Source organism: Homo sapiens, chromosome 13 (assembly GCF_000001405.40).
Source record: "Homo sapiens chromosome 13, GRCh38.p14 Primary Assembly".
NCBI classification, from domain to species: domain Eukaryota; kingdom Metazoa; phylum Chordata; class Mammalia; order Primates; family Hominidae; genus Homo; species Homo sapiens.
This window is the reverse complement of record NC_000013.11, coordinates 114,281,250-114,305,884: the sequence shown is the minus strand read 5'-3', so window position 1 is coordinate 114,305,884 and position 24,635 is coordinate 114,281,250. Positions and strand designations below refer to the sequence as shown.

The following is a 24,635-nucleotide window of genomic DNA, read 5'->3' as shown; positions in this document are numbered from 1 at the left end:
GTATGATTATGCTGTCAGGCATTTGAACTAACAAATCAGAATTTCCCTGACACAGATTCAAAGAATATTTCAGTACTTCTTTAACAAAATTTTTATTTAATAAATGGTTAAAATCGCAGTGCCAAAAATACATTGACATTTAGCAATTTCACTGAAAGGAAGAAACTACAGAATGCACGGTTTCAGAAAGCTATTTTAAGTTATTTACAAATAAAGTATCTAAAACTCAAAAACAGGCTCTGTATGCTATATCTAGTTTATCCCTTCCCGAACAAAATTTCTGTTATTTGGGCAAATTCTTAAACCATGGTTTAAACCGTAATGGTTACAAACCACAAACACATCCATCCAGAGACTGAAACCGTTTCTATCCGGTCAGTGGCAAAACTGTTGAAAGGGCAATAGTTGAAGCTGTTGGGTTTTATATAGTGTGAACTCTGATAAATATTCCTACCAGGACTAAAACACAGCACGCTTTGCGGGCATGGCTGACTCACAAAGGTTGTAACAAACAAGAACTACTCTTCACTCGACACCATGGCTCAGAGGCCACCGAGAAGCACGAGTGACTGACAGCTCCTCTGCTTACAAACGAATGAAACCCAAAGTGGATGTCGTTCTCACAGCACTGAAAGTGCTTCAGGACTCACACTGATCCAATACTAACTTTCTTCCCTATTTTACACATATTTTTCTACTGTCCAGTGGAAATCATTTTCTGTTTTGGCTAAACAACAAATACTAGTTTATAACAGGAATGGTAAAATCTGTGAGAATTCTGCTCAATTTAATACAAGATCACTACTTTCTTTAGAATGGTTTCTGCGTGTTTCTACGTCACCCTCTGTATTTTTAGCTTCCAGTTTCCTGGTAAGGAATAAGTTCTCCTTCCCAGTCACACTCGGGGTCATTTACACGTTTCTGGGATGCCCTTGCTCGTCCATGGAGGCCAGGTGCGTGCAGTGACTCACTCTGCCTCTTCCCTCTTCTCAGGACCAGTCCCCGAACCTTCTGCCTTGCAGATCCTCCTGTTTCCGCCACACTCTCGCGCTCGGAAGCGAGCTCCTGGATCATACAGCTGCAAGGCTGGCCGGTCCTGCCAGGATAAGAGGGCATGTTACTCTTCCAAGAGGTAGCAACACAGAAGGGTCAATATCTCCCTATATTTCTAGAACTTGATGATATGAATTGTCCAAAGAAAATCAACTAGGCAGCTAAAAATCAGCCCTTTTTTCACAGCACTATCTCAGAAACCAGGCATTCTAAGGCAATTAAAAAAGCCATGTAAACACTGGTTATCTGGGCAAATGTTATTGCTCAAACAAGAACATGTAATCTGTGGGAACAGTACAATCATGACGTCCCCCTCTGAGTTGGGAAGTGAACAAAATGAGATGTGGACCCTCACAGATGGTTTCAGATCTGCCAACTAAAACTTATTAACGTGAGTAGTAAGCAATTTCCATGGGGCTTATCCCTGCCTAGCATGTACCAGCAGGGAGACTGAACTGGTCCCTTTTTAGAAGACATCACCCCATCATTTTATTAAACTCCTGGAGGTGAAGCAATAAAAATGACCCATGAAGTCCATGAAGGGCAGCTGTTGAGGGCCTGAAGAAGGCAACAGCCAGGGAAGCATAGAGTGGCCCTGAAGGCTAGTGTCAGCAGCGACAGCAGCACAATTCCTCCTGATGGGGCCACCAGCCCTGCCCCAGCACTGAAGGGGTGGCAGAGGAGGAAGGCGGCTTCCAGCTTCCGTGAGCCTCCTGCTCCACGCGCCTCCCGCTCCCTGCCTATTCTCCCTGCAGAGCTGCAGCCTTAGCCTCCAACAGCCACCAGGAGCCCAAGTGTGGGCTGCAAGGACGACCATGTGGGTACATCTCATGCGCTCCTTCTCCAGGATTCACCAGCTCACCTCTACCTCCTCCTGGACTGTGTGTGGAAGCCCACATCTGCTTACCACCAGGGGGTTTAACTTAATTTTCTTTTCCTTGGTATGAACCTGACCAATGGGAGGGGTGGGAACAGGCTCAGCAGGCCCCTGGACAGGCTGCCTGGAGCCAGCACGCATAGCTCTGTTTGTTTTTCTTTTTTTTCTGAGACAAAGTTACACTCTTGTTGCCTAGGCTGGAGTGCAATGGCGCAATCTGGGCTCGCTGCAACCTCTGCCTCCTGGGTTCAAGTGATGCTTCTGCCTCAGCCTCCTGAGTAGCTGGGATTACAGGCATGTGTCACCATGCCCGCTTAATTTTTGTATTTTCCGTAGAGATGGGGTTTCACTATGTTGGCCAGGCTGGTCTCGAACTCCTGACCTCAGGTGTTCCACCCGCCTTGGCCTCCCAAAGTGCTGGCATTATAGGCATGAGCCACCGCACCGGGCCGACAATTCTGCTTCTTACCAGGGCAATACCTGTATACACAGATGGAGCATGGAGCCTGACCTTAGAAGTACATGACAAATGCCAGGCTCCCGGGAAAGTAGCTCCTGCACACAGCGCCTCATTCCCACCACAGCACTGTGAGGCTAAACACAGGAGCAAATGCTCCCCCACCTCAGGTCGGGGGAAACACCAGGCCATTCACCACTGCTAAAATAAGCCAACTGAAGACTGAGGACTCCTATGAGCAACGCCCTATCAAAAAGACGCATGGCTGTACTTTGTGCACCCCGAGGTCCAGGCAACCCCAGAGAACTGGAGTATTCTAGAGGTGTTCATTCAAGGGTGAAGACAAGAAGGCTCTCCTCTGGCTTTCAGCCTTGACTTCACTGAAACTTTTTTTTTTTAGAGGTAATTTTGCTTTTCTTGCCTAGGCTGGAGTGCAATGGCATCATCTTGGCTCACTGCAACCTCCGCCTCCCAGGTTCAAGCAATTCTCCTGCCTCAGCCTCCTGAGTAGCTGGGATTACAGGCGCGCCACCACGCCCAGCTATTTTTTGTATTTTTAGTAGAGACAGGGTTTCGCCATGTTGGCCAGGCTGGTCTCGAACTCCTGACCTCAGGTGATCCACCCGCCTCAGCCTCCCAAAGTGCTGGGATTATAGGTGTGAGCCACCATGCCCAGCTACACTGAAACAGTTTCAAAGTGAACATCGTTCATACACACAACAACCTGGAAGGATCTGAAAGGAATTAGACTGAGTGAAGAAAGCCACTCTCAAAGCTCACATACTGTGTGTTTCCATTTATCAAGCATTCTTGAAATGACAAAATCACAGAGGCAGAGAACAGACAGTGGCTGCCAGGGGTTAGACATGGGGAGGGAGGTGAGTGGGAACTGGAACCCTAGGCAGCCCTCAGTTTGCTAGGAGGCCAGGGTGGGGCCTGGTGCTGTCAGAAAGGTGATGCCATCTGTAGTGCTGCGCTGGGAAAATGCAACCTGAACAAAAATTAGCTCCTGAAAAAAAAAAGTTGTTTGCTTGGCTAAGGGGGTAACCACAGTCCTGTGCTCACCGTCCGTGCAGATCTAACTTACAGGTGTTTGTGAGCCATGGGAATATTCACCAATAATCAGAATGTTGTTAATAATGTGGAAGAAACCTCCATGAAATATCATTAAAACTTTCCTTCCTGTCTCAAGGGTAAATTTAATAATCTTATTCTCAAGTGAATCATATAAACGTGCTAGTTTTATACTAAATAAAATCTTTCTTTTTCCTGGTGAAAAATAATTTGATTATCTGAGAAAAGATGATGACTAGTCTCACTCTGGGATCTGACTTTCAGGAAAAACTGCTCTTGAAAATGCTCAAAGCACTGCGTTCCCCAAGACACAAGGCCAAGTGGGGGTGACATGGTCAGCATGCAGCCTGGACCTTAAGACAGCCAGACACATTTTTCTTTTTGGGTTTAATAAAAACCTTGTTTGCCAGTCGCTCTTTTCTGGGTGCTGGACTGTCGTCACACCTCTGCGCTCTTCCCAGTCTCTCCATGGCCTCCCCCGGAGCCCCGCTGTCCTGGCTCCCCTTCTTCCCTCTGTCTTGGCCAGGTCCTTTCCCCCATCTCTGCTCATCCTCACTCCTTCTGGAAAGCCGTTCAGGCTCGTGGTGAGCTCTGTGCCTCCTGCCGTCATCCACATGGTATCTTTGTGCTTCAGATTCTTGTTCTTGAGATCTCTCCACATCCCTGTGCTCTTTATCACTGCCGCTGTGTGACCTATGATTCAACACAAATGATCAGCAACTGCAGTAAACCGCCGGTTGGCTGCCCACCCTCCTTTCTAGACCACAGGTTCCCAGACAACAGGGACCCATGCGAAGTGCTCAGCGCTGCACTGCTGAGGCTGCACTGCGATGGGCACACAGCAGGCGTTGATAAAAACCACTACAAAGAGGAATAAATCATAGTAATAGTATCTGTCATTTCAGTTGAGTGACAGATAGGCAATATGCCTTATACTAAGGTACTTTTTTTTTTTTTTTCTGAGATGGAGTCTCGCTCTGTTGCCCAGGCTGGAGTAAAATGGCGGGATCTCAGCTCACTGAAAGCTCCGCCTCCTGGGTTCACACCATCCTCCTGCCTCAGCCTCCCGAGTAGCTGGGACTACAGGTGCCCGCGACCACGCCCGGCTAATTTTTTGTGTATTTTTAGTAGAGACGGGGTTTCACTGTGTTAGTTAGGATGGTCTCGATCTCCTGACCTTATGATATGCCCATCTTGGCCTCCCAAAGTGCTGGGATTACAGGTGTGAGCCACCGTGCCTGGCCATGCTAAGGTACTTTTTATACATATTTTCTAATTCTCAATAACCCTCCAAAGTAAATACCTTCTTTTGACCAGGCATGGTGTCTCACGCCTGTAAATCCCAGCACTTTGGGACGCCAAGGTGGGTGGGATCACCTGAGGCCAGGAGTTGGAGACCAGCCTGGTCAACATGGTGAAGCCCCCTCTCTACTGAAAATACAAAAATTAGCCAGGTGTGGTGGCATGTGCCTGTAATCCCAGCACTCTGGGACGCCAGGGGCAGGCAGATCATTTGAGGTCAGGAGATTGAGAGCAGCCTGGCCAACATGATGAAATCCTGTCTCTACTACAAATACAAAAATTAGGCCAGGCACAGCGGCTCACACCTGTAATCCCAGCACTTTGGGAGACCAAGGCAGGCAGATCTCCTAAAATCAGGAGTTCGAGACCAGCCTGACCAACATGGAGAAACCCTGTCTCTACTTAAAATACAAAATTAGCCAGGCATGGAGGGGCATGCCTGTAATTCCAGCTACTCAGGAGGCTGAGGCAGGAGAATTGCACGAACCCAGGAGGCAGAGGTTGTGGTGAGCTGAGATCGCACCATTGCACTCCAACCTGGGCAAGAGGAAAACTCCGTTTCAAAAAAACAAAAAAAAAACAAAAATTAGCCAGGCATGGTGGCGGGTGCCTGTAATCCCAGCTACTTGGGAGGCTGAAGCAGAATTGCTTAAACCTGGGAGGCGGAGGTTGCAGTGAGCCGAGATCGTGCCACTGCACTCCAGCCTGGGCGACAGGGCGAGACTTTGTCTCAAAAATAAAATTAAAATAAAATAAAATAATAAAACAAAATAAAATAAACCTTCTTTTCTACAGATAAAATGACTGAGACTAAAGTGGTCCAGTGGCTGTCCTGGGAGCCCAGGTGCACATCCATCATGATGTGCAGAGTAAAATTAACTGACATTTAATAATGGCAGATTAATTATCTTTATGCATTTATCAGAATATTAAATGAATAGTAAATAAATGGCTGCTTCGCTCATTTGCCAGGGCTGTTGGGGACCATAAGGATCTGTAACCAAGTATGAATTCACAGCAGACACGTGGCAGTAGGTCCTGCTGTGTCATCAACTGTCACAGTAACAACACCGGTAACATCATCACAGTGCTTCACAATCATGGATTTGATAATCATATATAAATTTTATAAACAAAGCAATAAACCAAAACTCCCAAGAAGTAGAAAAAATACTTCATCAACTCTGAACGAAAGGCAGTGAGAAATCACACCTACGACTATGGCTCTGGGAAGCCGGCAGCCTAATCGCATTAGTCTTCCCACCTAAAATCCACGTCCATCATCCCCTGTGGGCCAAGTGGCCCTGGGCACCAGGAGACTGTGGGTGGCGAGAGGCAGTGAGTGGGCAGGAGTCCCGGAGGGGAAGGTAAGCCCAGGTGCCTGGGGCCCTGAGGATGGTGGATGCCAGGAGCAAGAGGGACAGGATCCCTCCTGACTGGCATCTGGCTGGTCTCTCTGGCCCACCGGGCAGATAATGCTGTGTCTGTCCCTTTCGCAGATGAGCTCCCTCCATAGAGCTGCACTGTCATATGCAGCAAAGGAAAAGAAAAAGGGAGGACCCACAGTGCACAGCCAAAGCTGCTGGTCAAGATCCACAGCCAGAGGAGCCAGGGACAGCTTCAACCAAAGGATCACAGCACTTAAAATTCTGTTTCTCTATCACAAAAGATCTGCCAGACCTAAAAGAGGGGGTTCCCAAATATGCAATTCTGTAGATAAATTGCAAGGGGGATAAAAGAGCAAAGGGCAAGATATCACAAACACAGAGAAAAATAAAAAACAAAAAACAAAAAGAAAGACTGGGAAGACAGATCCTGAAGACCTGACATGCAACAGCAGGAATCCAGGAGGCGGCTCAGGAGTAAAAGGAGGACATGGAGGCAAAAGCAAAGCAAACAACAGGAAGAAACTCCCGATCTGAAGACAGACTTGAGACTGCAGACAAGACGAGTTCACTACGTTCCTGCCATGCTGATGGGAAATGAAGGCTAACGTGTACTCGCACACCCTGGAAAGTCTTGGATTCCAAGAACAGTGTGAAATAGGCATACTCATACTGACAAAGCCTACGTCACCATGACTGGGAGCTGACGTGGTCATAACAATGAAAGCACGCTCACGTCTCCTGGGGCTCCTCCAGCGAGCCTTCCATGGGCCTGGCTTTTACGACTGCACCGGGGGCACAGGATTCCTGCTTGCCACCTCCAGTATCAATCTCCTCTCCTCTTTCTTTTGGTTTCTCTGTGGTTGGTTCCTCTCCCTTTTCTGGTTTCTTAAGAAGCTGAGAAATTACAATGTTAGTAAAGTATCACCTTGAGAGCATATTTTAAAAGAAGCTGTTAAATAAATAATTACAAATATACCCCAATATTGAAGCCAAATGTTTGCACAGCAAAGAATTAAAGCTAAAGGTCCAAAAATGAGGTTTTTGGTTTAATACGTGGTGGAACATTCAGTGAATGAAATATTTTTTAGTCATGAAAAGTAAGGTAGGTTAATGTGATGCAAAGATGTTCACGTAATGAATAAAGGGCTAAAAAACAGAACATGCACCACAATCTCACTTACACTTTTCTCTTTTGAGACAGAGTCTCGCTCTGTCGCCCAGGCTGAAGTGCCGTGGCGCACTCCCGGCTCACTGCAGCCTCCGCCTCCAAGGTTCAAGTGATTCTCCTGCCTCCACCTCCTGAGTAGCTGGGACGACAGGCATGCGCCACCATACCCGTCTAATTTTTTTTTTTTTTTTTGAGATGGAGTTTCACTCTTGTTGCCCAGGCTGGAGTGCAATGGCACGATCTTGGCTCACTGCAACCTCCTCCTCCCGGGTTCAAGTGATTCTCCTGTCTCAGCCTCCCAAGTAGCTGGGATTACAGGCGCCCACCACCACGCTCAGCTAATTTTTTGTATTTTTAGTAGAGACGGGGTTTCAGTATGTCGGCCAGGCTGATCTCAAACCCCTGACCTCAGGCAATCCACCCACCCTGGCCTCCCAAAGTGCTGGGATTATGGGCGTGAGCCACCGTGCCCAGCCCCCACTTCTATTTATGTTCACACACACACCACCACCTAAAGGGCTCTGCAGCACTGTATTAATAGTGATTATTTCCTTTTTTGAGATGGAGTCTCGCTCTGTCGTCCAGGTTGGAGTGCAGTGGTGCAGTCTCGGCTCACTGCAACCTCCGTCTCCTGGGTTCAAGCGACTCTACTGCCTCAGCCTCCTGAATAGCCAGGACTACAGGGGCGTGCCACCACACCTGGCTAACTTTTGTAGTTTTTGTTTGTTGTTTTTTTTGAGACGACGTCTCACTCTGTCACCCAGGCTGGGGTGCAGTGGCTTGATCTCAGCTAACTGCAACCTCTGCCACCCTGGTTCAAGCAATTCTCCTGCCTCAGCCTCTCAAGTAGCTGGGATTACAGGCTCCTGCCACCGTGCCTGGCTAATTTTTGTATTTTTAGTAGAGATGGGATTTCATCATGTTGGCCAGGCTGGTCTTGAACTCCTGACCTGTGATCCCCCAGCGTTGGCCTCCCAAAGTGCTGGGATTACAGGCATGAGCCACCATGCCCGGCCAATAGTGATTATTTCTAGATGGCAGAACTGAAATGACTTTATTTCCTTTCATCTATAGGGTCTAGTTTTCCTGACATAGACAAGTATTAGTTTTGTAATAAGGAAAAAAAAATTTTTAAAAGGCTGCTTCCTACTGATGATTTTTAGAATAGTTTATAGTTTTCAAAACACTGATTATTCTCTTTCCTGAAACAGAATTAATGAACAAGTCGCCACGACATATTTCATCTGCCCTGTATGCCCCTGGCCTTTCTCCCTGCTCTCTGTATAGTTTTTGAAACTAAAGCACCTCAGCTAACTTGAGAAAAGGGAGAAAAAAAAAAAAAACGGAAGCACCACAGACAGATCATTTGTAGAACAGAAATGGAAGGTGTACATCTGAGAATTCTGTTCTCACTCATAATTGCAGCATAGCAAGACCATACACAGATGCATTCAATCACACGTGTTCACTTGGGAACACAACGCATCATGCAAGGTGGAGCATTGGAAGCCGCTTCTCATCAAGCGTGGGCCCCATGTCAGCTGTGAACATCCTCTTATTCTGCCTATGTGGAATCTGGGAACTTAAACATTTCCTTTCTGGTAACTGCCCATCTTTTATAAAAATTGCAACAGTAACATGTCTGTAATAAATGTGAACCATAGGAAGTGCAAATCTCCATCCACCCATTCAACAAATATTCTGTGTGCCTAGGAACTGTTCTTACATTTCTGACACTGCACGTCTTTTTCAATACCACCCCTCCGACACCAGCTGCGTGCTCCACATTCAACTCAACTCTGAGATCATCGACCTGGAGTTAGCACCAGAACCCACGGGTCAAGGGCTCAGTCCCACAAGACTGCCCCCCTTTCAGACGACAGTTCCAAGTCCCAGTGTGTCACCGGTACTTCTGACCAGTCAGCAATAAATTCAGGGGTTCCCGATGGCCTCTCCTCAGATTTGGTAAGTTGCTGAAATGGCTCACAGAACTCAGAAAGGCACTGTTTTCTCGATTATTGGCTAATCATAAAGGATACAACCCAGAACAGCCAAACGGAAAAAATGCACAAGGTGGGTATGGGGTATGGTGTAGTGGTACTTGGAGCTTCCATGCAGTAACCCTCCCAGCACCTTGATGTGCTCACCAACCCGGAAGGCCCGTCTATTTTTTTTATTTTTTTTGAGATGGAGTCTTGCTCTGTCACCCAAGCTAGACTGCAGTGACGCGATCTCGGCTCACTGTACCTTCGCCTCCTGGGTTCAAGCGATTCTTCTGCCTCAGCCTCCTGAGTAACTGGGACTACAGGCATGCGCCACCATGCCTGGCTAATTTTTGTATTTTTAGTAGAGACGGGGTTTCACCATATTAGCCAGGCTGGTCTCAAACTCCTGACCTCGGGATCCACCTGCCTTGGCCCCCCAAAGAGCTGGGATTACAGGCGTGAGCCACTGTGCCTGGCCCCTGGAAGCCCTGTCTTTAGGCATTATTAAGGTTTCATTATGTAGGTGTGACTGATTAAGTCACTGGCCACCGGTGACCTCTCTCTAGGCCCTCTGCCCTCTCGGAGGCTAGGGTGGGACTGAAAGTCCCAACCCTCTAGTCCTGCCTTGGCTTTCTGGCCAACTAGTCCCCATCCTGAAGCTGCCTGGGGCCCCCAGCCCCTAGTCCTCTCATTGGCATATAAGACACTCATATTACTGCAGATTCCCGAGGTCTGAGGAGCTGTGTGCAGGAACCAGGGCCTAAGACCCTGTGCTAGGCACTAGGGAATGGCTGTGAATGAGACAAGAGGTGCCCCTGCCTCGAAGGAACTTGCGCCTGATGCACCACCTGAGGCAACGGTGGTCAAGGGGGAATGCTGTGAACAGTGGCAAAAATATGAAAAAGGAAACAAAGGAATAAGATAACCTCAGGTAGCATCAAAAGCTACGAACAGACATGAAGGGAGAGTAAAGCATCAGAGACGCAGGAAGAGGAGGGCCCAGGAGGGCTCTCTGCAGAGCCAAGACGGGAACTAAGACCAGATGCCAAGAAGGAGCCACGGGCACATCTGGGGAAGTCCCTGTGGAGGGAAACGTGCGGAGTCCTGAGGTGGAATCCGCTGGTGCATTCATGAGAAACCAGCAGGCCAGAGCCGCTGGAGACGAGCTGGGGAGCACGCCAGAGCCGCTGGAGACGAGCTGGGGAGCACGCCAGAGCCGCTGGAGACGAGCTGGGGAGCAGGCCAGAGCTGCTGGAGACGAGCTGGGGAGCAGGCCAGCTCTGCCACGCCCTGCAAGGCTTCCGGAGGCCAAGCGGAGCGCATGGGCAGCTGTGCTCCCTCCCAGCCCTCGCCTGTGTGTGTTCACCCATGTGGCCACACATAAGCTCACTGCTTAGCATCCTCAGAGGAACATTAAACAGCTGAGCTGTTCTGTGTGCCGTATTTCTTTTCTTTTTTTTTTTTTTTTTGAGACGGAGTCTTGCTCTGTCGCCCAGGCTGGAGTGCAGTGGCGCAATCTTGGCTCACTGCAAGCTCCGCCTCCCGGGTTCATGCCATTCTCCTGCCTCAGCCTTCCAAGTAGCTGGGACTACAGGCTCCCGCCACCACGCCCAGCTAATTTTTTGTATTTTTAGTAGAGATAGGGTTTCACCGTGTTAGCCAGGATGGTCTCGATCTCCTGACCTAATGATCCGCCCACCTCGGCCTCCCAAAGTGCCAGGATTACAGGTGTGAGCCACCGCGGTCCAGCCTTTTTGAGACGGAGTCTCGCTCTGTCGCCCAGGCTGGAGTGCAGTGGCGTGATCTCAGCTCACTGCAACCTCTGCCTCCCAGGTTCAAGCGATTCTCCTGCCTCAGCCTCCTGAGTAGCTGGGACTACAGGCGTGTGCCACCACGCCCAGCTATTTTTTTGTATTTTTAGTAGACATGGGGTTTCACTGTGTTAGCCAGGATGGTCTCGATCTCCTGACCTCGTGATACGCCCGCCTCGGCCTCCCAAACCATATTTCTCTTTATTAAGAATAGCCATGAGTGCTACGCACGGTGGCTCATGCCTCTAACCCCAGCAGTGGGAGGATCACTTCAGCCCAGGAGTTCAAGACCAGCCTGGACAACATAGTGAGACCCCCACTTCTACAAATTTTTTTTTAAATTAGCTATTCAGGTATGATGTTGCACCCCTGTAATGGGAGGCTGAGGCGGGAGGATCACTTGAGCCTGGGAGGTAGAGGCTGCAGTGAGCTGTGACTGTGCCACTACACTCCAGCCTGGGTGACACATTGAGACCCTGTCTCAAACCCCCCCCCCACCAAAACCAAACAAAAAAATAGCAAAATAGCCATGAGCCATCTGTCTTTCTTTAAGCTGTTGATACACCTTCTTTTGCATTTCTCCACAGATTCCATTTTTCAGGCATTAAAAGAATTTCAATTTTCCACATGATTTAGAAGTGAAAGACCCCCATACTGAGCACAGATACTTATTAAAAGCTAAACCAGGCCAGGCATGGTGGCTCACGCCTGTAATCCCCAAACTTTGGGAGGGTGAGGCAGGAAGATCACTTGAGTCCAAGAGTACGAGACCAGCCTGGGCAATATAGTGGGAACCCCATCTCTACAAAAAACAGAAACAGGGTCTCTCTCTGTTGCCCAGGCTGGTCTTGACCTCCTGGGCTAGAGCAATCCACCTGCCCTGGTCTCCCAAAGTCCTGAGATTATAGGAATGAGCCATCATACCCAGCCAACTTTTCTGTTTTTGACTGCTGACCATATCAGAAACAAATCTATGGTTCAATGATCTCTTCCCCACCCTTTCCTAAGCTATCTTCTTTCCCCAAGTCCTGACATTTCATTTTTTTCCTCATATTGTACAATATTATTGAATATAAGGTATTCAATAAATAATAAGTAATGAGTGATACCTTAGGTTCAAATCTAGGTTTAGTACTGAGGAGATAATGGCTGGTCCCAATTCTGGCCAACACATTTCACACAGAGAAAAATTCCCTCTATGTATTAAACCACCCTCATAAATGAATGTATCAGTCACAGAAAAAACTCAGCAAGAAATACAGAAACTCATTAGTGCTACTGCCAAAGAAATGATAAAACCCGGTTCTGAGTCAGCCTTCACACAGAAAGGCAAAACCAGTGGTTTTCAAATGTGTATTTTTTAATCAGGGAAACTTTTTTTTTTTTAAGACAGAGTCTTGCTCTGTTGCCCAGGCTGGAGTGCAGTGGCGCGATCCCGGCTCGCTGCAACCTCCGCCTCCTGGGTTCAAGTGATTCTCCTGCCTCAGCCTCCTGAGTAGCTGGGATTCCAGGCACACGCCACCACGTCCGGCTCATTTTTGTGTTTTTAGTAGAGATGGGGTTTCCCCATATTGGCCAAGCTGGTCTCAAACTCCTGAACTCAAGTAATCCGCCTGCCTCGGTCTCCCAAAGTGCTGAGATTATAGGTGTCAGCCACCCCACCCGGCCAGGAAATTTTTTTTTTTTTTTTTTTTTTTTGAGAGGGAGTCTTGCTCTGTCGCCCAGGCTGGAGTGCAATGGCGCGATCTCGGCTCACTGCAACCTCTGCTCCCTGGGTTCAAGCGATTCTCCTGCCTCAGCCTCCTGAGTAGCTGGGATTAAGGCGTCCGCCACCACACCTGGCTAATTTTTGTATTTTTAGTAGAGACAGGGTTTCACCATGTTAGTCAGGGTGATCTCGAACTCCTGACCTCGTGATCTGCCCGCCTCAGCCTCCCAAAGTGCTGGGAGGAAAACTTTTTTTTAAAGGAAAATGTAGAGGGTGGAGAATGGGAGGAGGGTGAAGACTGAAAAACATCAGGTACTGTGCTGATTACCTGGGCAACAAAATTATCTGCACACCAAACCCCAGTGACACTTGATTTACCCATGTGACACACCTGCACGTGTACGCCTTGAGCCGAAAATGAACACGTAACACACCTGCACGTGTACGCCTTGAACCGAAAATGAACACGTAACACACCTGCACGTGTACGCCTTGAGCCGAAAATGAACACGTAACACACCTGCACGTGTACGCCTTGAACCGAAAATAAACATGTGGCACACCTGCACGTGTACGCCTTGAGCCGAAAATGAACACGTAACACACCTGCACGTGTACGCCTTGAACCGAAAATGAACATGTGGCACACCTGCACGTGTAAGCCTTGAGCCGAAAATGAACACGTAACACACCTGCACGTGTACGCCTTGAGCCGAAAATGAACATGTGACACATCTGCACGTGTACGCCTTGAGTCGAAAATGAACACGTAACACACCTGCACGTGTACGCCTTGAGCTGAAAATGAACATGTGACACATCTGCACGTGTACGCCTTGAGTCGAAAATGAACACGTAACACACCTGCACGTGTACGCGTTGAGCTGACAATGAACATGTAACACACCTGCACATGTACGCCTTGAGCCGAAAATGAAAGTTGGAAAGTTTAAAAAAAAAAAAAAAAAAAAGAGCGTCAGCAGCAGCCCAACGTGTGCCAGCGTGGGGCTCCTGTGGGGTGTGCTCCCCACTGCACACCCAGGAGGACAGGCACCCAACAGCAGCCTGAGGACTCCCAGGGCTCAGGACGCACTGTGATAACCACTGCTGTAGGATGGAAAGAAAGATGGAAAAGATGGAAAAAAATAACAACACAATATTAGATTAATTCAGAATGTTTTCAAAATTCTAAAGAACTAAGATATGTAAAAAGTGTAATTACTATAGCAGAGCTATTTTTGGAAAAAGGAAATGTTTCCTCAGAATTACCTTAATCCTTACTTCTTTCTCTGCAATTTTCTTCTGTTTATCTGTCTCTTTTTTTTTGCATCTTTCTTCTTCTCTTCTTCTTCTTTTTTCCTCTTCCCGCAAACGTTTCTTTTCTAACTCTCTCCTCCTCCGTTCTTCTCGCTTCTCTTCTCGAATTCTCTAAAGACATGGAAGAGCGTGTGTATAAACTGCCTGGATGAGAATGGCAGAAGCAGGGAGGGTGTTCATCAGGTAAAGGCCAGACCTACCTGCTTTTCTAATTTTCTATTTTTAATATATTCCAAAAGAGGTGTGGTTCTTCTAGCTAAAACACAAAAATTGTAATATTGTATTTAACTCCTAAAGAAAGATGTATTTTAAATACTTGTTTTGAATGTAATCTTTAAAATAAATACGGGAACCATATCATTACTTTTTAAATTTACACACTGTCTCCAGGGGAGTTTTTATTCCATTACTGTCAGGTCAAGTAATTTGAAAGTATCAACAATTTCATACATAGTAGACATCTAATTCCTGATTCTTAAGGGAGGCTTAAAATATTCCAAGATGATATTTTTGTAGGTGCCTTAAATCATTAAATAACATATATTTATTTTGATACATCGCATATTCTGAGAACTTTTTCGTTTTCCGTTCTCCAAGCAACAGTTTTAAAATAACATGGATTCTTGTAATGTCTTACAATATATACTCCATAAAATCCCAATGATAAGACATACAACTCTGGATTGTAGTTTAGAAAATGACTCCACATGGGCCGGGCGTGGTGGCTCACACATGTAATCTCAGCACTTTGGGAGGCCAAGGCGGGCAGATCACCTTAGATTGGGAATTCGAGACCAGCCTGACCAACCTAAGGAAACCCCGTCTCTACTGAAAAAATACAAAATTAGCCGGGCGTGATGGCACGCGCCTATAATCCCAGCTACTCGGGAGGCTGAGGCAGGAAAACTACTTGAACACGGGAGGAGGAGGTTGCAGTGAGCCGAGATTGCGCCACTGCACTCCAGCCTGGGCAACAACAGCGAAACTCTGCCTCAAAAAAAAAAAAAAAAGAAAAAAAAGAAAAGAAAAAGAAAATGACTCCATATGGCGCTGCTGATTGCAGAAAAGGCACCAACTACTAGGGAATGAACATTTCTACAGACTCTATCTTGGTCCTTCGCTTTCATGCCCGACCTCTCAGATCTGACCTGGATGTGGGTGCCCAGGCAAGCTAGAGGCCCCACAGGCCCCACCTCAGAGGGACTTGCGCTGACATGGACAGGCCCCACATCCCACCAACACAAGGACACAAATGGGAAGGGGGAAGACGGGGTCTACTCTGTGGGTCTGTAAGATCTCAGACTAAACAGGGCTGGGAAGAATCCCTGGATGTACCTGAAAACTGACACATCATCTCTGGAATTCTGAGGACCAGGAATGAATCAGGAATCATAGGAGAAGCCCTGGCCAGGGATCCATCACTTGGAACTGAGAACCCCTGACACCCTGACATCATAGATGAAATGGCACCTGTCCCAGAAGCCCTTCCCCAGGGACAGTCTGTGGTTGTAGGGAAGAGCCGATTGTCCCAGGAGCCCTGCCCCAGGCACAGTGGTTGTAGGGAAGAGCTGATGCAGGTACAAATGCCACATTTCGTGGCAGACACAGTTGCCACAGAGAACACTCCCCCAGGGGTCCCTGGGCTGACCATGAACTCTGGCTCAGGGTGAGTACAGCACACTGGCTCAGGTAAATGGTCAGCTCTTTGTAATGGGCAAATTATCTCAAATCAGCCAGGGTTCTGCTCTGCTCTGTGGAAAGCCTGAACTTGTCAGCCAGGAGCCGGGCGAGACCACCTGGATGTGTGGGGAGGCTGACCCCAGACTCCGCTTGCCCACCTTCCTCTTCCTATAAAATGTCTGCCCTATCACCCACAGGGATCACGGGCAAAGTACGTTAGACCCTGAATAAGAAAGTGTTCTACACATCATAAAAGTATGTTATTTATCAGACAGAATACGCACAACCATGCAACAGAACACAAGTAAACAGAAGTCTCAGAGCTGAACCCAGGCCTGTCTGCTCTAAAGGCCGATGCTAAAGGCCGATGCACCAGACTAACTCAACAACTCCAGAGTCCTTGCCAGAAACAGCTTATTAGTATTTCCATTTAACACTTGCTTCTCAGACCTGTGCAGAAGAATCCACTGGAGGCCAAAAGCTTAGAAAAGAAAAAGGTAATCTGCCATGAATTGCCTAAAATTTTTTTTTTTTTTTTTTTTGAGATGGAGTCTTACTTTGTCGCCAGGCTGGAGTGCAGTGGCGTGGTCTTGGCTCACTGTAACCTCCGCCTGCCGAGTTCAAGCGATTCTCCTGCCTCAGCCTCCCAAGTAGCTGGGACTACAGGCGCATGCTACCACGCCCAGCTAATTTTTGTATTTTTAGTAAAAACGGGGTTTCACCATGTTGGCCAGAAAGGTCTCAATCTCTTGACCTCATGATCTGCCCGCCTCAGCCTCCTAAAATGCTGGGATTACAGGTGTGAGCCACCGCACCCGGCCAAGTTTCAATTTTTCATACATAGAAACAGCAATCACAGAAACAAGGAAGACTCTACAGCCAAGTCCTGGAATGAATTAATCGCTCCCATCAGGGATGGTGGGTTCTAAGCCACATTCATTCATTCATTCAGCCAACTTTTGTGAAGCATTGGCTGTGCAGCAGACTCTCGGGGAGGTGCCAGGACATGCCCCCCTCTCCCCACCCCGGCAGGAGCCACGTGTCTGCCCCAAAAAGGTATGTCTCAAAACAGCCCTAAAGTGACCGATCCTTTGCAAGGGGACATTTAAAACAAAGTGAGATGGAAATGGGAGGGGCAGGGAGATGAGGCCTGTAATAACGTCTAATTTGCTGCTTCTAGCTCTTCTTCAATTTATCAAGTTCTTAAGTGAAATCTCGACTTTGCCCCCAATACTGTCCTACCCTCATGTTCCCTTGTGTATAATGGTGCCACAATCCACCCATCTGTTCAAGCCAAGCACTGGAGTCTTAATTCTTCCTGTCCCCTTACCTCCCACACCCTATCCGTCTGTCGGTCCTGTCCAGCCCACCTCCAAAACACACGCTCATCTCTTGGCATCCACAGTCTATCCCATGTGACACCACCAAAGTGACGGGGACAAATAATCAGACCATGCTACTCCCCCAGTGGCTTCCAGTTGCCCTGGAATGAATCTAAATGTCTTGCAGTGCCCTGAACCTCCAACCACGCTGCCCTCACCCATGTGTGCCAACCCCACAAGCCTGCACTCTGCGCCTGCAGTGAAAAGCGACAGCAGCCGGCCCTGCCCCTGGCGCTTCCTTCCTCCACTGCTCAGCACGGCCAGGCTCAGCTCATCTCCTGACCTCTTTCCCTCCCGCAGCCAGTCTCAGCTCCAGCTCCACCACTATCTTGGAGGGAGTCTCCCAACCTCTTTCCCTCCCATATTCCACTTTGTCACATCAGTGGCAGTGATTACACACTGAGGTGCCCTGGTTGGACTATTCCTGCTCCTGCTTCCAACCTGTCATCCCGATGGTAGGCAGAGGCCTTGTGCAACCTGCTTACCACTTGGCCCCATGCTGAGGCCCAGAGTCAGTGCCCAGGCAGCATGCAGCCTCAGCATATTTTGTTTACTTTAGTGATCAAAAGCCTTATTACGGCTAGGTGTGGTGGCTCACGCCTGTAATCCCAGTACTTTGGGAGGCTGAGGCAGGCGGATCATCTGAGATCAGGAGTTCAAGACCAGCCTGGCCAACATGGTGAAACCCATCTCCACAAAAATATAAAAATTAGCTGGGCATGATGGCGGGTGCCTGTAATCCCAGCTACTCAGGAGGCTGAGGCAGAAGAATGGCCTGAACTGGGAAGGCAGAGGTTGCAGTGAGCCGAGATTGTGCCACCGCACTCCAGCCTGGGCAACAGAGTGGGGGGAAAAAAAGCTTTATTACTAGATAAATGAAGAAAGTGAACGGACTATTTCAGTAATATTAATCTTTTTTTATTAATTCAATCAACATCTACTAAATTCCTGAACTTTTCTACAACCATGAAGATGAAAATATAGTTCCACTGGGGAGACAAAACAAGAAGGGAGTTTATGTGGTGGGAGACAGACAGGAAAATAAATGATAAACAATGTGGCTGTCATGTCACATCAATTTTATTGGTTTTTTGAGATGGAGTCTCGCTCTGTCACCAGGCTGGAGTGCAGTGGTGCGATCTCAGCTCACTGCAACCTCCGCCTTCTGGGTTCAAGCGATTCTCCTGCCTCAGCCTCCTCAGTAGCTGGAACTATAGGCACGCACCACCATGCCCTGCTAATTTTTTGTATCTTTAGTAGAGATGGGGTTTCACCATGTCGGCCAGGCTGATCTCGAAGTCCTGACCTTGTGATCCGCCCACCCTGGCCTCCCAAAGTACATCCATCTTGATGGGTGGGCAGGGCACAGCCTGGGCGGGAGAGATGAGAGGTGAAGAACCAGGGCTTTGAGGAAAGGAGATCCACAGAGAAGAGAAACACTACCAGGTGTGTCTGGGACTAAACAACAACAGTTTGCCTGATTTTCATGTTGGTGCTACTGGGAAGTATGTTGGTGCTACTGGGAAGTAACTATTTCTAAAGTACACCACTTGTGGGCATGGGGTGGAAGGCTGGATTTAAACTCGATTCTGTGCTCTGGCTGGGCTTATCCACAAGTTGGCCTGGCTCGGGGAGCCTGGCATTTGTGTTGAAGCAGCAAGATGACCTCACCGCAAGCAAAACATCTCATTCCTATGGGCTCTTGAGGCATCCGTCTGTGACCACTGACTTCAACTATGTGACACAACATGCCTTCCCTGACGCTCAGGAACAGACCATTCATGTGTCTTCTGCACTGCTCATTCGGAAGCATCATAACTTAAAATGATCTTAACTAAAAAAATCACGTGCTCTCCATCAACCAACGCTCAGAAATATTTTCCCATGCTGCCATCTTGCCATTCTTTTGTCAAAACTGGAAATCACTCTACATTTCTGTCAAGCCTGTAACAAGTTTCAACTTGTTATCACAGTCAAGAAAAAGAGAAAAAACGTATATCCTCTACGAGTAAATCTCTCAATAAAGAAAAGAGAAGAAATGAGCAAAACAGACCAATGAGCTCTCTTGTCTTCGCCTCCATCTCCCCCAGCAGAGTCTCAGGGTTGGCACTGGTCTTCTCTTCCTCCACACAGTAGGTTTCTAAAAACTTCTTATATTCTGGATCTAGACATTAAAAAGTAGGAAGAAAATAAATATAATCTTTCCCAACTACGGGAGAATTACATTTGCTCAGTGTTCTTAATTTGGCAGCTTCATAACGTAGCACTTGGAAAGGGCTCACCATCTTCGATGCTTCCAGTCTTGGCATCTTTTTTTCTCAGCTTCTTTTTGGCTATCTTCTGGAATGGAGCAAACTCTACCACTGCAGGATATTCTAGGCCTTTTAACAGGAAACATGTTCCAGAAGCCATTCTGAAATTCTACTACATTCATTTCGGAAAATAATGACCTAACTTACTTAAAGAGTAAGTGTAACAACGACAATGCATTATTACTATTTAAACTATAATTCATCCTTCCAGTAAGAGATTAAAAAAAAGATTAAAAAACCTACAATTTTATTACACTTTCAAGCACCTGCAACCTTAACACGGCAAACTCCAGACTTAAACAAGGATGAACTCCTGGTAAGAAGAACATTTACTAAAACAATCCATCATGTTGTGGTGGTTGCATAACTGAAGTTGTTCAAAATTCATCAAATTGTTCACTTTAAAAGGGTGACTTTTACCATATGTAACTTACACCTCAATATACCTGACCTCCCCAGCCCCATCCCAAATAATTTATCGTTGGAATACCTTTAAATAATGATTTCTTAGCTACACTTTACATTTTATTTTAAAAGGTTAATTCAACTATCAATTTGTTATTTAAGTTCAAGAAAATTACTTTGCTTAGAAGACACCATGGCTAAAATAGAGGGTTTCAAAGGGTTTATAGAATATTCCAGGTGAAATCTGCTTCTGATAAAAGTAGAGAATGGAAGTCATTAGAAACTAACTTCGTTGCTATGTGGGGGAAAAACAAATACACAAAGAGAAATGTTCACTAAGAGAACCTGCTATATGCTGAATCATCAAATGGAACACTGCTACCTTGGTACTAAACCCACTGAGTCATTTTTTTTTGACTTGTCAGTAATAGTCAGGTGACTGAATTATAATTCCTTTAACTGGGAGATATTTTTGTGCCAACCTCCACTATCCAGAATAAAGTCAAGACTCAGGGGGACGGCAGGGCACTGGACCAGCAGGGACGATGTCCAAGTCACCGCTCCACCCACAAGGCCTAGCACACAGTGGATACTCATTCAATGGCAGATGACATACTCCCTGATTCCAAAGCTGAAAGTAATCAGTGTGGTACTGCCATGTAGACAGACACATCCACCAAGGGAATAAAATAGAGAGCACAGAAATAAACCTTTGTAATACTTGGTCAACTGATTTTTGAAAAGGGTGCCCAGACCATTCAATGGGGAAAAGAAAGTCTTTTCAACAACTGGTGCTGGGAAAACTGGATATCCACAGCCAGAAGAATGAAGCTGGACCCTTACCTAACACCATATACAAAAAGTAACTCGATATGGATCAAACCTAAATATAAGACCTGAAACCATAAAACACTTGGAAAAAAACACAGGGGAAAAGCTCCATGGCAATGGATTTGGCAATGGGTTGCATATGACATCAAAAGCACAGGCTTAGGCCAGAGACCATAAAAACAACGGCAGGGCAGCGGCTCACGCCTGTAGCCCAGCACTTTGGGAGGCCAATGTGGGGGGAATCGCTTGAGCTCAGGAGTTTGACACCAGCCTGGGCAACATAGTGAGACCCCATCTCTAAAAAACAAAACAACGACAACAAAGATAACCGGAAACAAGGACGACTGGCCCCTTGCTCACTACAGGTGGGAACCTAAAATGGCGCAGTCACTGTGGAAAACAGTATGGTATAAATTTTGTGACTTTTTTTTTTTTTGAGACAGAGTCTCACTCTGTCACCAAGGCTACAGTGTAGTAACACGATCTTGGCTCACTGCAACCTCTGCCTCCCGGGTTCAAGTGAGTCTCATGCCTCAGTCTCCCAAGTATCTGAGATTACAGGCATGCCTCATGATGCCTGGCTAATTTTTTTTTTTTTTTAGTAGAGACAGGGTTTCACCATCTTGGCCAGGCTGGTCTCGAACCCCTGACCTCAACTGATCTACATTCCTCGGCCTCCCAAAGTGCTGGGATTACAGGAGTGAGCCATCACACCTGGCCATGTTACACATATTTTACACACACACACACATATACATACACGTACATACACATACATATTTTTTTGCTCCGTCGCCCCGGCTGGGATGCAGTGGCATGATCTCGGCTCACTGCAACCTCCGCCTCCCAGGTTCAAGCAATTCTCCTGTCTCAGTCTTCCGAGTAGCTGGGACTACAGGCGCCTGCCACCATGCCTGGCTAATTTTTGTATTTTTAGTAGAGACAGGGTTTCACGTTGTTGCTCAGGCCGGTCTCGAACTCCTGACCTCGTGATCCACCCGCCTTGGCCTCCTAAAGTGCTGGGATTACAGGTGTGAGCCACTGTGCCCGGCCCACCAATATTTTTTAAGTGAAAAAGGGAAACTCAGTAAGTTACTGAATAAATGAGCAATGAACACAAAGGTCAGTTCAAGCATCACATTTGCTTCTAGTCACAGGAACTAGCTTGGCTAATGCTTATTTTTTTAACAATCTTTCTAGTCCTTACCCCTCATTGGAGAAAAAGAAAACACTCATCAGTGTCAAAACACGTGGAGTCGGAAGAGGGTGGCTGGGGAGGGGAGGGCAGAAAACAACTTGCTGTGAAAGGTATACAAACTTGACAGCCAGGAACACAACAGCAGACAGCCTGACAGGAGAAGAGAAGGAAAAAGATGAAAGCAGAACCCTAGAAGTACTGATAAGGGAACTATTGAGAGTAGAGTTGAAGACTGCTGTCTCCGCAGGCAAAGCTGTTTAACAGCAGTGACTTCCTGGTGACATTATCATAAATGGTACAGTCATGAAGGATGCTGTTTAGGAAGATAGAAGTCAGTGTACATTTTGGAAAATTCCTATCAGGTAAAATAGTTTAGCTTTAGAACCTAAAAAGATCAAGTTCTCTCATGCAACAAACTCACTCATGAAAACCTTCATTCTCTGATGATAATACATAAATAGGCTGTCACTATTACACAGAATTTCTGGAATTTTTTTGGATTAAATAATAAAATTAAATAATTTCAATTTTTAATATCTGCACATAATTACAGTAACATAATCAAAATTTATAAACTTATTTTAGTCTGAGAACTTTTTAATTAAAATGCACAAATAGACCGGATGCTGTGGCTCACGCCTGTAATCCCAGCACTTTGGGAGGCTGAGGTGGGAGGATCACTTGAAGCCAGGAGTTCAAGACCAGCCTGGGCAACACAGTGAGACCCCCGTCTCTACACAATTTTTTTTTTAAATCAGCCGATCATGGTGGCACACGCCTGTGGTCCCTGCTACCTAGGAGGCTGGAGGATTGCTTGAGCCGCAGTGTGAGGCTGCAGTGAGCCGTGATTGCGGCTGCTGCACTCCAGCCTGGGCAACAGAGCAAGACCCTGTCTCAAAAAATAATAATAATTTAAAAAGCACGAATATTCTAGCAATACTTCATTAGTATACCTACAGATTATAATAGATTTTTAAAAACCAATAATCCAACCTTTGCTGTCAAGGAAGATATATCCATCAAAACGATCTCTAAAAAGAAGGATGTCATCAGGATTCCTAAAATTAATGTATGCTCTTGAGTAGAGATGAGGATAAAGACTGAAATAAGAGATAACAGTGAAAATGGTCAGTGAAAAATACAATAGTCCATTAATTTAGCCTCTTTTTCCTTTTCTGGGCACAACAAACTACTTTAGATAAAACTTTTGTGCCAAATCATCTCAGTTAATTGTAACAACTTGGATATTCTTTAGCAAAAACAAACGCAAAACGTTAACTTTACAAGGCAGAACTCAGGTCCCTTCTCCACTGCCCAGAACCGGTCCTCCGAGGCTGAAACCCTAAGGCAAGGCCAGGGCGCACTCCCAGAGGAACCCGTGGCGCCGAGAGACTCTCCTGACTTGGGGACCTTCTCCGGTATTTAAAACCGCACTGGCTGCGGCACCAGCGTGGAGGCCACAGGAAGAGCCGGCGCCCCCCGGCCCCGCAGCGCCCCGTCCGCGGACGAGCAGGGAAGCCCGGGAGGCGCCGGGCGGGCAACGCTGGTCCTTTCAAAGGCACCCGCTTTCCTAAGCGTTAGCCGTCTGAAAATCATCCGCATTTTTCATGTAAACCACATCTGTGTTTCTTTGTTGGTGGTATTTTTCTTTGACGGAACGGACACGTTTTACTGAAATGTATTTATTCAAAAAGCTCACACGACTCCCATATAGGAGAAATCAGGGTAAGGAACGTAAGGCAACGAGACGGCCACCGCCGCCGAGCTCTGGGTTCCGCCCTCTCTTCCTCCCCTCGGGGCGGGCCTCACCTCAGGTCGGCGGCGAAGAACTCGAAGTAGTCGTGTGCTGGCAGCGGGCGCAGCTGCTCCTCCAGCTGCTCCTTGGTGAGGCCCGGAGGCAGGCGGCGGATGACCACCTGCGGGGAGCGCGCGGCCGTTCCCACCGGGGCGGAGCGTGGACAAGGAGCTCAAAAGGCACCGCGTACCGCGCTGGGAGGCCCGGCCCCCGCCCCTCCCTCCCCTCCCTCCCCTCCCTCCACTCAGGGCCGTCCTCTCCTCGCGAGGTTTGCGCGCCCCGCCCCCGTCCCCACCTTGCTCAGGGCCGTCCTCTTCTCCTCGCGAGGTTTGCCCGCACCGCCCCCGCAACCGGAGGACGAAGTTGGCGGCGTCTCAGCCTCCTGCTGCTGCGAGTCGCGGTGGAACTGCACTTCTAGGGCCGACAGCTTCTCCCTCCCGCTCGGGCCCCGCGCGGCAACGGCCGCCCGAAGGCCTCCGGCCCCCTCCTTTTCCGAGCGCATGCCGCACTCTCCGCCGAGCCGCAGCCGCCAGCCCCCGACGAAACCTCGCGAGAGCTCGGCCGCCCCAGCCCCGCCCCTCCTCGAGCCGCGGCGGTCGGGGCCGCCCACGAAGGGGTCAGGCGCTGCGGGACTAGTCGGGGTCGGGGTGGTGACCTCCGGCCACACAGCCTGGCTTTCCGCCGGGTCAGGCGGCCCCTCAGGGAGCGGCGGCCGCGGTTTAGGGCGGCCCCGGAAGCGGGGCGCCGGCGGCTTTGGTCCGGGCGTGGTGGGAGGAGTTCGCGGACAAGCCGCCCTCCCATCCCAGCACCGTTTTTATCCCACTCCCCCAGGCTCTCCGTGGCCGGGGCGCCATGAAAGCCGGGTTCACATTTGAATTCTTAATTTTTTTGG

General features: G+C 47.9%; 1 protein-coding gene and 2 long non-coding RNA genes across 39 annotated transcripts in view, besides 13 other annotated features; 1 reads left to right on the top strand and 2 right to left on the bottom strand.

Annotated features, from left to right (window-relative positions):
- Nucleotides 68-24,284, bottom strand: UPF3A (UPF3A regulator of nonsense mediated mRNA decay). 36 transcript variants are annotated; one of them, NM_023011.4, is made up of 10 exons: nt 24,039-24,284; nt 23,758-23,864; nt 22,942-23,048; nt 19,485-19,583; nt 19,256-19,366; nt 14,341-14,396; nt 14,093-14,251; nt 6,885-7,045; nt 3,860-4,154; nt 68-1,096 (listed from the first exon to the last, which is right to left on the bottom strand). In NM_023011.4, exons 1-10 carry the CDS (start codon nt 24,243-24,245, stop codon nt 968-970), a joined length of 1,431 nt encoding a protein of 476 aa, NP_075387.1. In that variant the 5' UTR covers nt 24,246-24,284; the 3' UTR covers nt 68-967. The 36 variants fall into 36 exon arrangements, 21 of the variants coding, with proteins under 21 accessions (NP_075387.1, NP_001340574.1, NP_001340579.1 ...); NM_001353645.1 differs by lacking the exon at nt 24,039-24,284 and adding an exon at nt 21,527-21,791 and having other exon boundaries at nt 23,758-23,974; NM_001353650.1 differs by lacking the exon at nt 24,039-24,284 and adding an exon at nt 21,527-21,791 and having other exon boundaries at nt 14,105-14,251; nt 23,758-23,974.
- Nucleotides 9,403-9,562: an enhancer, noted in NCBI's record as "active region_8066". NCBI's record gives its function as "activates an Ori minimal core promoter by ATAC-STARR-seq in GM12878 lymphoblastoid cells {active_cell/tissue: GM12878}" and the evidence as "EXISTENCE:reporter gene assay evidence [ECO:0000049][PMID:35858748]".
- Nucleotides 9,753-9,812: a silencer, noted in NCBI's record as "silent region_5562". NCBI's record gives its function as "represses an Ori minimal core promoter by ATAC-STARR-seq in GM12878 lymphoblastoid cells {active_cell/tissue: GM12878}" and the evidence as "EXISTENCE:reporter gene assay evidence [ECO:0000049][PMID:35858748]".
- Nucleotides 10,223-10,322: an enhancer, noted in NCBI's record as "active region_8065". NCBI's record gives its function as "activates an Ori minimal core promoter by ATAC-STARR-seq in GM12878 lymphoblastoid cells {active_cell/tissue: GM12878}" and the evidence as "EXISTENCE:reporter gene assay evidence [ECO:0000049][PMID:35858748]".
- Nucleotides 10,488-10,989: an enhancer, noted in NCBI's record as "H3K4me1 hESC enhancer chr13:115060371-115060872 (GRCh37/hg19 assembly coordinates)". NCBI's record gives its function as "activates a minimal SCP1, AML or CMV promoter by ChIP-STARR-seq in naive H9 embryonic stem cells {active_cell/tissue: H9 hESC(naive)}" and the evidence as "EXISTENCE:reporter gene assay evidence [ECO:0000049][PMID:30033119]".
- Nucleotides 12,164-14,086, bottom strand: LOC124903222 (uncharacterized). Its single transcript, XR_007063884.1, has 2 exons — nt 13,301-14,086; nt 12,164-13,214 (listed from the first exon to the last, which is right to left on the bottom strand). It is a non-coding gene; the product is annotated as an uncharacterized LOC124903222 (long non-coding RNA).
- Nucleotides 12,472-12,521: an enhancer, noted in NCBI's record as "active region_8064". NCBI's record gives its function as "activates an Ori minimal core promoter by ATAC-STARR-seq in GM12878 lymphoblastoid cells {active_cell/tissue: GM12878}" and the evidence as "EXISTENCE:reporter gene assay evidence [ECO:0000049][PMID:35858748]".
- Nucleotides 12,532-12,581: an enhancer, noted in NCBI's record as "active region_8063". NCBI's record gives its function as "activates an Ori minimal core promoter by ATAC-STARR-seq in GM12878 lymphoblastoid cells {active_cell/tissue: GM12878}" and the evidence as "EXISTENCE:reporter gene assay evidence [ECO:0000049][PMID:35858748]".
- Nucleotides 13,060-13,559: an enhancer, noted in NCBI's record as "H3K4me1 hESC enhancer chr13:115057801-115058300 (GRCh37/hg19 assembly coordinates)". NCBI's record gives its function as "activates a minimal SCP1, AML or CMV promoter by ChIP-STARR-seq in primed H9 embryonic stem cells {active_cell/tissue: H9 hESC(primed)}" and the evidence as "EXISTENCE:reporter gene assay evidence [ECO:0000049][PMID:30033119]".
- Nucleotides 13,560-14,061: an enhancer, noted in NCBI's record as "H3K4me1 hESC enhancer chr13:115057299-115057800 (GRCh37/hg19 assembly coordinates)". NCBI's record gives its function as "activates a minimal SCP1, AML or CMV promoter by ChIP-STARR-seq in primed H9 embryonic stem cells {active_cell/tissue: H9 hESC(primed)}" and the evidence as "EXISTENCE:reporter gene assay evidence [ECO:0000049][PMID:30033119]".
- Nucleotides 21,453-21,649: a silencer, noted in NCBI's record as "fragment chr13:115049711-115049907 (GRCh37/hg19 assembly coordinates)". NCBI's record gives its function as "represses an EF-1alpha promoter that drives an FKBP-Casp9 reporter gene in an ReSE screen in K562 erythroleukemia cells {active_cell/tissue: K562}" and the evidence as "EXISTENCE:reporter gene assay evidence [ECO:0000049][PMID:32094911]".
- Nucleotides 23,267-23,476: a silencer, noted in NCBI's record as "silent region_5561". NCBI's record gives its function as "represses an Ori minimal core promoter by ATAC-STARR-seq in GM12878 lymphoblastoid cells {active_cell/tissue: GM12878}" and the evidence as "EXISTENCE:reporter gene assay evidence [ECO:0000049][PMID:35858748]".
- Nucleotides 23,616-24,303: an enhancer, noted in NCBI's record as "NANOG-H3K27ac-H3K4me1 hESC enhancer chr13:115047057-115047744 (GRCh37/hg19 assembly coordinates)". NCBI's record gives its function as "activates a minimal SCP1, AML or CMV promoter by ChIP-STARR-seq in naive H9 embryonic stem cells {active_cell/tissue: H9 hESC(naive)}" and the evidence as "EXISTENCE:reporter gene assay evidence [ECO:0000049][PMID:30033119]".
- Nucleotides 23,857-24,036: a silencer, noted in NCBI's record as "silent region_5560". NCBI's record gives its function as "represses an Ori minimal core promoter by ATAC-STARR-seq in GM12878 lymphoblastoid cells {active_cell/tissue: GM12878}" and the evidence as "EXISTENCE:reporter gene assay evidence [ECO:0000049][PMID:35858748]".
- Nucleotides 24,267-24,536: a silencer, noted in NCBI's record as "silent region_5559". NCBI's record gives its function as "represses an Ori minimal core promoter by ATAC-STARR-seq in GM12878 lymphoblastoid cells {active_cell/tissue: GM12878}" and the evidence as "EXISTENCE:reporter gene assay evidence [ECO:0000049][PMID:35858748]".
- Nucleotides 24,308-24,635, top strand: part of LOC105370384 (uncharacterized) — a 30,962-nt gene continuing 30,634 nt past the window's right edge. The window contains exon 1 of one of the 2 annotated variants that reach the window (XR_007063886.1): nt 24,308-24,359. This is a non-coding gene — a long non-coding RNA (uncharacterized LOC105370384). The remainder of the gene's footprint in view (nt 24,360-24,635) is intronic. The other variant, XR_007063889.1, reaches the window with a different exon arrangement.